The 8,489-nt window shown below is 51.2% G+C and overlaps 3 protein-coding genes across 12 annotated transcripts in view, besides 6 other annotated features; 1 reads left to right on the top strand and 2 right to left on the bottom strand.

The window, feature by feature from the left end:
- ARL10 (ARF like GTPase 10) overlaps positions 1 to 8,489 on the bottom strand; it is a 49,577-nt gene that overhangs the window by 24,159 nt on the left and 16,929 nt on the right. The window lies entirely within an intron of this gene.
- Positions 952 to 1,635: an enhancer, noted in NCBI's record as "NANOG-H3K27ac-H3K4me1 hESC enhancer chr5:175816271-175816954 (GRCh37/hg19 assembly coordinates)". NCBI's record gives its function as "activates a minimal SCP1, AML or CMV promoter by ChIP-STARR-seq in primed H9 embryonic stem cells {active_cell/tissue: H9 hESC(primed)}" and the evidence as "EXISTENCE:reporter gene assay evidence [ECO:0000049][PMID:30033119]".
- Positions 952 to 3,003: a biological region, named in NCBI's record as "MED14-independent group 3 enhancer GRCh37_chr5:175815238-175816437".
- Positions 1,144 to 2,154, bottom strand: HIGD2A (HIG1 hypoxia inducible domain family member 2A). The gene is made up of 2 exons (NM_138820.4): positions 1,932 to 2,154; positions 1,144 to 1,574 (listed from the first exon to the last, which is right to left on the bottom strand). The coding sequence occupies exons 1-2, from the start codon at positions 2,083 to 2,085 to the stop codon at positions 1,408 to 1,410; spliced, it is 321 nt and encodes a 106-aa protein (NP_620175.1). The 5' UTR covers positions 2,086 to 2,154; the 3' UTR covers positions 1,144 to 1,407.
- Positions 1,457 to 1,676: an enhancer, noted in NCBI's record as "active region_23683". NCBI's record gives its function as "activates an Ori minimal core promoter by ATAC-STARR-seq in GM12878 lymphoblastoid cells {active_cell/tissue: GM12878}" and the evidence as "EXISTENCE:reporter gene assay evidence [ECO:0000049][PMID:35858748]".
- Positions 1,469 to 2,668: an enhancer, noted in NCBI's record as "MED14-independent group 3 enhancer chr5:175815238-175816437 (GRCh37/hg19 assembly coordinates)". NCBI's record gives its function as "activates an origin of replication core promoter dependent on BRD2, BRD4, P300/CBP and CDK7 cofactors, and independent of MED14, by STARR-seq in HCT116 cells {active_cell/tissue: HCT116}" and the evidence as "EXISTENCE:reporter gene assay evidence [ECO:0000049][PMID:35650434]".
- Positions 1,877 to 2,196: an enhancer, noted in NCBI's record as "active region_23682". NCBI's record gives its function as "activates an Ori minimal core promoter by ATAC-STARR-seq in GM12878 lymphoblastoid cells {active_cell/tissue: GM12878}" and the evidence as "EXISTENCE:reporter gene assay evidence [ECO:0000049][PMID:35858748]".
- Positions 2,307 to 6,959, top strand: NOP16 (NOP16 nucleolar protein). Of its 9 annotated transcripts, NR_134318.2 has the most exons (6): positions 2,307 to 2,472; positions 2,562 to 2,670; positions 3,996 to 4,065; positions 4,886 to 4,975; positions 5,578 to 5,684; positions 6,622 to 6,959. NR_134318.2 is itself a non-coding variant. In NM_001291307.3 (5 exons), exons 1-5 carry the CDS (start codon positions 2,366 to 2,368, stop codon positions 6,672 to 6,674), a joined length of 417 nt encoding a protein of 138 aa, NP_001278236.1. In that variant the 5' UTR covers positions 2,307 to 2,365; the 3' UTR covers positions 6,675 to 6,959. The 9 variants fall into 9 exon arrangements, 7 of the variants coding, with proteins under 7 accessions (NP_001278236.1, NP_001243469.2, NP_001243468.2 ...); NM_001291307.3 differs by lacking the exon at positions 4,886 to 4,975 and having other exon boundaries at positions 6,651 to 6,959; NM_001256540.4 differs by lacking the exon at positions 4,886 to 4,975.
- Positions 2,320 to 3,003: an enhancer, noted in NCBI's record as "H3K27ac hESC enhancer chr5:175814903-175815586 (GRCh37/hg19 assembly coordinates)". NCBI's record gives its function as "activates a minimal SCP1, AML or CMV promoter by ChIP-STARR-seq in naive and primed H9 embryonic stem cells {active_cell/tissue: H9 hESC(naive and primed)}" and the evidence as "EXISTENCE:reporter gene assay evidence [ECO:0000049][PMID:30033119]".

Raw genomic sequence — 8,489 nt, 5'->3', positions numbered from 1 at the left:
TAGAGTGTGCTCAGGTCCTCAGCCTCCTCTTCCAGAACCCTCAAACACTATGTACACAAATCTCTGGAGAGCTTCGGGACTGTGTTCTTCCCACTGTACCAGACTGCTTCTCTGAGCCTGTTTCCTCTTCTATACTGTGTCAAGAACCAGATGGTCTAGGCTGGGCGTGGTGGCTCACGTCTGTAATCCCAGCACTTTGGGAGGCCGAGGTTGGGGGATTACCTGAGGTCAGGAGTTCAAGACCAGCCTGGCCAACATGGTGAAACCATGTTGTTTTAGTATTCTACTAAAAATACGAAATACAAAAATTAGCCGGGCGTGGTGGCACACACCTGTAATCCCAGCTACTCGGGAGGCTGAGGCAGGAAAATTGCTTGAGCCCGGGAGGCGGAGGTTGCAGTGAGCCGAGATTCTGCCACTGCACTCCAGCCTGGCTGACACAGTGAGACTCGTCTCAAAAAAAGAACTAGATGGTCTAGATCAGTGGAGCCCCATAGACTCTAGGGAGGTGGGAGCAGGGTGAGGAGGTTATGCGGAGTGGAGGGCAGAACCCTCTGCCTCTGACCCGACTATGGGAGGCCTCATCTGAAGGAAGGTTGTCCTACTGAAAGTCTGAAAAACTGCTGGCTAGACCAGTATTTTTCAAATGGCATTACTCTAGGCCCACTGAACTAGAATCTCAAGGAGTGACCTTGAGATTCTTTTTTTTTTTTTTTTTTTTTGAGATGGAGTTTTGCTCTTGTTGCCCAGGCTGAAGTGCAATGGCGCGATCTCAGCTCACCACAACCTCCGCCTCCCGGGTTCAAGTGATTCTCCTGCCTCAGCCTCGCGAGTAGCTGGGATTACAGGCACGCAACACCACGCCCAGCTAATTTTGTATTTTTAGTAGAGATGGGGTTTCTCCATGTTGGTCAGGCTGGTCTTGAACTCTTGACCTCAGGTGATCCGCTCGCTTCGGCCTCCCAGAGTGCTGGGATTACAGGTGTGAGCCACTGCGCCTGGCCAAATCTCTGCTTTCAAAGTGCCCTGGGTGGCTGTTACTAGGAAAGTTCGGGAATCACTAGACTACACGATTTCTAAGCACCACTCCAAAGTCCGTTTCCTCCAAAATCAAAGACCAAAAACCATGGGGATGATACTGAATTAAATACAAGTGGATTTTTAGAGTTTATTAAGCAGGGGAGTGGAGGGGAGATGTGGCACAAATAGAAGTATGTAACATTCAAACAACAGCATCTAGGATTTTTGAAAAAACTTTCGGTTACAGTTACACAAAGGGTCACTTCCTCCCCAGCGACACATGGGCCTCTCAAAGGAGAGGAGGGAGTAAGTCCCACGGTAGGGCCAGTGGTTGCTCCCTGGGTTTTGGAATCATTTCTGCGGAGCTTTCAAGGCCAGACCCTGGGCTTAGGGTCGAGACTTCATAGCAGTGACAGCCAGACCCAGCAAGATGGCTGCGACCGTGAAACCCTGGGCGGCGATCCGGGTGCGCATCATGAGCTGAGAGCGCTGGCTGTTGCCCCGGTGGAAGGAGTAGAGGCCGTAGGTGAGGGCGGCCGCCGTGGCCAGGCAACCTGAGGAGGGGACAAAGCAACTGGGAAACAGCAGGTCGGGCCCCGCAGGTCATTCCCCGCTTTGGGTCTCGCTTCCCCAAAGCCAAGATCTCTGGATCACAGCGGAGGGAGGGCGGCGAGGGTAGGTCGAGTCGAGGTCTTCCTAGTTACAGAGTCCTCCCAATCTTAGGCCCCAAATCCCGCCCCCTAAACCCGCTGCTCCCGCTCCAATCAGTTTCGCCCCTCACCGCCCCGCCCCCTCGTCTCTTCTCTAGTCCGCTCTCCTTCCGCTCCCCGCTAGCGCTCTGGTCCTTCTCTACTTCCTTCCCTCCGACATCACTGTCCTCTCCTTGTGCAGTTCCTACCGCACCCACTTACCTATGGGTACCACCGGGTTCTCGCGGGTCTTGCGAACGAACTTTTCCTTGAAACTCTCTGGATTCCTGTAAACAGTGGGGCTCAGCCCCTCAATGACTGGAGGCTTCGATGGTTCAAAGGGGACCTCCGGAATCACAGGGCCGGGAGTCGCCATGTCCGGGCCACAGCAGCAGGAGAAAATCGGGACTCCGACCTCAGCCTCCCGGTGAAGGTCATGAAAGGGGCGGGGAAACGAATAAATTGAGCCTTGTACGCAGGCGCAAATGCTCGTTGCATCCTGGGAGTCGTAGTGCTCAGCACGGTAGTGCTACAAAAGGACTACATTTCCCCAAATGCCCGCAAAGCCTTGTGCACGCCTTCCGGAAGGAGTTTGTTACACGAGGTCTGAGAGACAGAGGCAGCGTGTTTGAGCTGCTGGTGCGGTGGTCAGCGCGATGCCCAAGGCCAAGGGCAAAACCCGGAGGCAGAAGTTTGGTTACAGTGTCAACCGAAAGCGTCTGAACCGGAATGCTCGACGGAAGGCAGCGCCGCGGATCGAATGGTGAGGGGGCTGGGGTTCCGGGTGGCCGTGGGCCTCGGCCGGGACGGTCCGCGAGATGACGGATCCGCGATGTCTCTCTTTGCCGGTAGCTCCCACATCCGACATGCCTGGGACCACGCTAAATCGGTACGGCAGAACCTGGCCGAGATGGGGTTGGCTGTGGACCCCAACAGGGCGGTGCCCCTCCGTAAGAGAAAGGTACTGACATGGCAGGGTCTCGGTCCTTGTCTTCTTTACTCTTCCCCCGCCATACTGACCTAGGTGTCAGAACGTGGTACTGCCCATTCCTTCCCTCAGGCCCTTCCGAGTTTTCGACCTCCCCACAGTCAGAACGCTCAACTGACGTTGAGCAAGGGTCTCTTTACGACCTTCGTCACACTCCCTCCCCAGCACACATTCCCCATACCCCCTCTACTCAGTCTTTTTTCTCTGAAATTAACCCATTAGCATCTCAACGGTATTTTCCTTAATTTATCTTTTTCTACCCTTAACTTTCCTAATTAGTACTCCCTAAGAGTTGGAGATCTTTACTTACACCTTTTCTTTGTTATTCAATCATCCTTGGTCTGAGGCTTCCCTAGGCTTCCCTGACTGCAGTCTCCTTCCCGGGTTCAAGCTATATCCCACCTCAGCGTCCCAAATAGCTGGGATTATAAGCGTGTGCCACCATACCCGGCTGATTTTTGTGGTTTTAGTAGAGGCAGGGTTTCGCTATGTTGGCCAGGCTGGGCCTCAAGTGATCCGCCTGGCCCCCTGGAGGCTTCAACAACTATTAAAAGAATCCAGGTTCCCAAAAGAAAAGCAAGCAATTCATCTTTCTCTGCCTGCCTATCTATAAAATGGGTATAACACTCCTTGCCTTAGGGACTATCTAACTGTGTGGCTGTAGCCTCACATTTATTCAAGAAATGGTAGTGCCATTTTCCTCTGGCATGAAAGAATAAAAAGAAACTTGCCTAAGGCAATGGAACAAATTCATTCGCGAAGCCCATTCATTAGGTTAACTACTTATTGAGAACATGTCACATCCTAAGCACCCTGGGGATTTAATAGAGAACAAAACACAAAGTCCTTGTCACCAAGATTGTGTTGGGGGTAAAAGGCACAGACGGATTACTTGAGGCCAGGAGTTTGAGACCGGCCTGGCCAACATGGCAAAACCCCATCTCTACTAAAAACACAAAATTTAGCTGGGCATGGTGGCGCATGATTGTAATCCCAGCTACTTGAGAGGCTGAGGCAGGAGATCACTTGAACCCGGGGGGAGGTTGCAGTCAACCAAGATTGTGCCACTGCATTTGAACCTGGGCAACAGAATGAGACTCTGTCTCAAAAAGAAAAAGAAAAAAAAAAAGAGAGAGAGAGAGAAAAAGCCTCCAGGGCATTAGTTCTCATTGTTACCTACTTCTACCTAACCGTGGGCAGGGATTCTTATGGGTTAGTAGTTGTGTTGGGATAAGCAGGAGTCTATAACTTTCCCTCATCAAAGATCCTTCTGGTCTCAAGGGCTCTGTTCTCTGCAGGTGAAGGCCATGGAGGTGGACATAGAGGAGAGGCCTAAAGAGCTTGTACGGAAGCCCTATGTGCTGAATGGTGGGTGTGGTCCATATATTCCTTTAGGTCACTGTCCTGCACTGTGGGAAGCTGGGAAGGGCCCTAAGATGTCCTCATTTTGCAGATGGAGAAACCAAGTTTCAGAGGGGAGAAGTGAGCTGGTTCAAAGTTCACAGAGTTAGGACTGTGTCCTGGCTGGCTCATTTTTCATTGTACTGACTAAACCCTGACCTTACTGTGTGAACTAAGGTCAGAGATGTTTAGGGAGGATGTACCCAGGTGCCTGGGAGAATAGAAGAGAAACCAGTAAATCTCTGGCATGGGTATGGCTTCTCATGAATTTAAGGATGAACTGATTTTTAGGGATTCCACCATCTCAATAAATGTTCCAATGACAAAATCGATTTTATGTATATTAAGGCTATAGAGAGTGAACGCTAAAACGGAGGAGAGTAAACCCTACAGGAAAGTGGGAATACTCTAGAATTCTTCATTCATCCTTCCCCTTACCTGTCAGGGAGTTTAAGCAGCTCCCCTAAAGATAAAGGATTTGAATGGCCAGACATTTGATACAGAATTCCTTGAGTTCCTGTCTTTTATCTCAGTGGTTCTCATAAGAATTACTGCACAGGATTGTATATACCAAGCCATAGGCACTTACTGTAGTCAAAGAGGAACATTTTTAAAAATTTTAAAATGTGGTTAAAAAACACATAAAAGTTACCATCCTAACCATTTTTAAGTGCACTGTTCAGTAAAGGATATTGACTTTGTTGTGCAACAGGTCCCTAAAACCTTTTCATTTTGCAAAACTGAAACTATACCCATTAAACAACTCCCCATCTTCCTCTACCTCCAGCCCCTGGCAACCGTGTCAAAGATAATTTTGACTATATACAATATGAGGACCTAACCTCTGGATATGATTCGACTACTTCATTTCTCTGAGGTAGCTCTTTCTCTCTCTTTCTAGATGAGAAATGGAGTAGGATTTGCCTGTCTATTTTAAAAGTGAAGCCATTAGTTGGCTCCACATCCTGGCTTTTTCTCTCCCATGGAGCACTAGTAAGGTGCTGGGGCCCAGCCTCAGGCCCCAGACCCGGCAGCTCTAGATCTCATGTATTTAGACCGTCCCATTTCATGTGTTGCAATAATACATCAAGAGCTTCTCTGAGAGGCTTATAGCTGGAAGGGAGCCCTGTCCTGTGGGCAGGTATGTGCCTTCATCTCTGTCCTGAGACCTGCCACTAAGTAGAGGTTATTAGTCTGGTACCTTCCTTGTAAATCCACCTGAGGCCCGGAGAGAAGTGACTTCCCTTTCCAAAAGTTGCCATACTGGTAGATGAGTGGGTCATAGGAGACAGAGTCTGGGATCCAAGGGGCTGAAGGAGGTTCCAACAATGGATTTGGGAATGGGGAGGCAAAGACCCCCAGGTGGTTGGTGTGGTGGGTCTTGTGGCTTGGGAGTGGGTGAAGGGGTGATTGGACAGCTCAAAGAGCACAGAAAGCAAAGCCTCATTCCCTGTCTCCCCGCTTCTCTCATCACTCCAGACCTGGAGGCAGAAGCCAGCCTTCCAGAAAAGAAAGGAAATACTCTGTCTCGGGACCTCATTGACTATGTACGCTACATGGTAGAGAACCACGGGGAGGACTATAAGGTGAGCGGCTCAGGCCCCGTGGGCTGGCTGGGAAGGCGCCCTGGACCATTCGCGGCTTGATCTGCTTGCGCAGCACCTGTTTCCTGAAACCGAGTGCAAAGAAAGGGAGGCAAAAGAGACTCTAGGAAATGGATCCCATTGACAGGGATCTAACTTGAATGAATGCTTATGGCAAGGATAGACTGAGTGACCTTGGTTCCAGTCTCACTCACAGATAAATGTTTTGCTCGCATGGTGTTTTTTGGTTTGTTTTTGTTTTCAAGACAGAGTCTTGCTCAGTCACCCAGGATGGAAGTCTATTTTTGGCTTCCTTTAACAGTTGAAAGATCCGGCTACACTGGACCCCTGGGCCCAAGTAGGATTAGCTGGCTATGATGGGTCATGAGCTCCTCAGCTGGCCCCAGCTCCTCCCTGGCCCGCTGGACTCTCAGGCCTTCCTGGTCTTTTTTTTGAGACAGAATCTCGCTCTGTCACCCAGGGTGGAGTTCAGTGGTGTGATCATGGCTCACCGCAGCCTCATCCTCCCGGGCTGAAACAGTCCTCCTGCCTCGGCCTCCCAAGTAGCTGGGACCACAGGATGGTTAATTTATTGTTTTTGGAGAGACAGGGTCTCACTGGGTTGCCCAGGGTGGCCTGGAACTCCTGGGCTCAAGAGATCCTCCCACCTCGGCCTCCCAGAGTGTTGGGATTACAGGCATGAGCCACTGTGCCCGGTGCACCACAGCCTTTGAGGTCAGGATTCTGGACCTCAGGGATAGATAGCAAGTGGCTTGCCTAATTCAGGATGAGTTCAGATTTGAGCCTTTGCCTGTCTAGCCCTCCTTAAAGTAGCCCTTCTCCTCTTAGGCCATGGCCCGTGATGAGAAGAATTACTATCAAGATACCCCAAAACAGATTCGGAGTAAGATCAACGTCTATAAACGCTTTTACCCAGCAGAGTGGCAAGACTTCCTCGATTCTTTGCAGAAGAGGAAGATGGAGGTGGAGTGACTGGTTTACATCACAGCTGCCCCAGGCTGAGGCGTCCCCCGGACCAGTGAAGCTGGAGCCAGGGTGTAAGGCAAGGAGGTGCTGTGTGGCTCCAGAGGAGCTGGCCAGGTCCCATGGAATCAGAAGGTTACACACACACGTGCACACTCCCCGCTCTGGGGAAGGAACTGTTCTCAGAGGCTCCAATTTATATTCATCTGGGGGTTCACGGAAAAGCCAGAACCTGCTGTTTTCAGGGTGGGTGATGTAAATATAGTGTGTACATAATAAAGCAAATATATTTTACTTCTCTGATGATTTTGTATTTTTCTGCTCTCAGCCAAACCCTGGGGCTGCCCCGGTGAAAACCACCTCTACCGGGGCTGAGAGGCCATCCCGCCTGTCAGCAAGTGCTACGTTCACTTGCTCTTCTAGGCACGGCCTCTGGCCTCATCCCGATGGCTCTCTGCCCATTTCCCGCACAGCAGTTCCTCTCAACTCTACAGAAGCTTGCCGGCAACCCTGGGCTGTTTGGAAGGGGCCTGCCTTGCCCACGCTAGTCCCCCCACTAGGCTGGGGGCTGGTGGGGCCCTAGCCTGAGGCCAGCTGTGGCTTGACTGGCAGAGGGTAAGGAGCTCAACTCCTGGCCTGCCCTCTGAGTGACCTGCCTTCTCTGCTTTTCTTTGGATTGCTTATGTTGGCCTCGGTCTGAAGTGAATCCGAGGCCCCCAACCTGGCTTCTGGGACTGGTGGACTGCTGAATCCCACTCTGTTGTGTGCCAAGCAGTGGGCTACACATGGCATGGCCATCCTTTGGGGCCAGGCTTGCCTGATTCGGTGGCATGAGGTGATGTCCACAATGCAGCAGGATCACAAGCAGGGTATGGAGTGGGCCCTGGGCATTTCCTTATGTCCTGATACTTGATCCCCAACTATTAGTCATACAAAAACCTTATTCCCAGGGTTTCTCAGGATCGCCTATCAGCTGTCTCTTGTCGCTCGTTCTCAAAAAGGAGGGCTTGGTTTTTTCCATAGATCATTTCATGTGAAATCTTGTATGGTGCGTGGTTTTATCCTCATCTTACAGGTAGAGAAACAGGCTATAAGGTGTCAAGGTGGGGTTTGAAGTCTGTCCAACAACTAAGCCTAGGCTTTCTGCTTGCTGTCTTCCCCTTTAAGGACCCCTGAAGGCTGCCCATCAGTCCCATACCATCAAGGCAGGCTGGGAGAGTCCCAGAAGCCCCCTTACTGGAGCCAGCCGTAGACTCCAGCAATGACTGGCCCTCGGAAGCACACAGCAGTGCTTAGTCTGCAGTGGAGCTCCTGAGGGCCTATTTGGCCCCATCTTATGTCCTCCACAGGATTCCAAATTCAGGCCTTTGGCTGGGGTGGCCCCTTAGCATGTGTCTTTATGCAGGTGAGGAATGAACTTTAGGAAGCCTTCCCTACCACTAGCCCCACCCCTAGGCCATGTGTGTCTTGTAGGTTTTGTGAGACGGCCTTGCTCTTGTATCCCAGGCTGGAGTGCAGTGACATGATCATGGCCCACTGCAGAAGCAGCCTCAACCTCCCGGCCCAAGTGATCCTCCCTCCTCAGCCCATCCCAGGAAGCTATCTCTGGTGACCTCTCTTCAGAGGGATGGTAATAGGTCAGAGAATGGAAAATCAGAAGCCACTGCTTCATCTGAGTTACTTAAGAACAAAGGCCCCCAGTGCCAGGTGAGTGACCAGACACAGGTTCAACAGGTAAGTGTAGTGAAGACTTCCCTTCTATGTGAGGAGTGGACGCTCTGCATGCTCGCTGCCACCCACTCCCTCAGGTCCACAGCCTCCCCT

The sequence above is a fragment of the Homo sapiens genome, chromosome 5, assembly GCF_000001405.40.
Source record: "Homo sapiens chromosome 5, GRCh38.p14 Primary Assembly".
Taxonomy (NCBI): Eukaryota; Metazoa; Chordata; class Mammalia; order Primates; family Hominidae; genus Homo; species Homo sapiens.
This window is presented reverse-complemented; position numbering and strand designations above follow the sequence as displayed.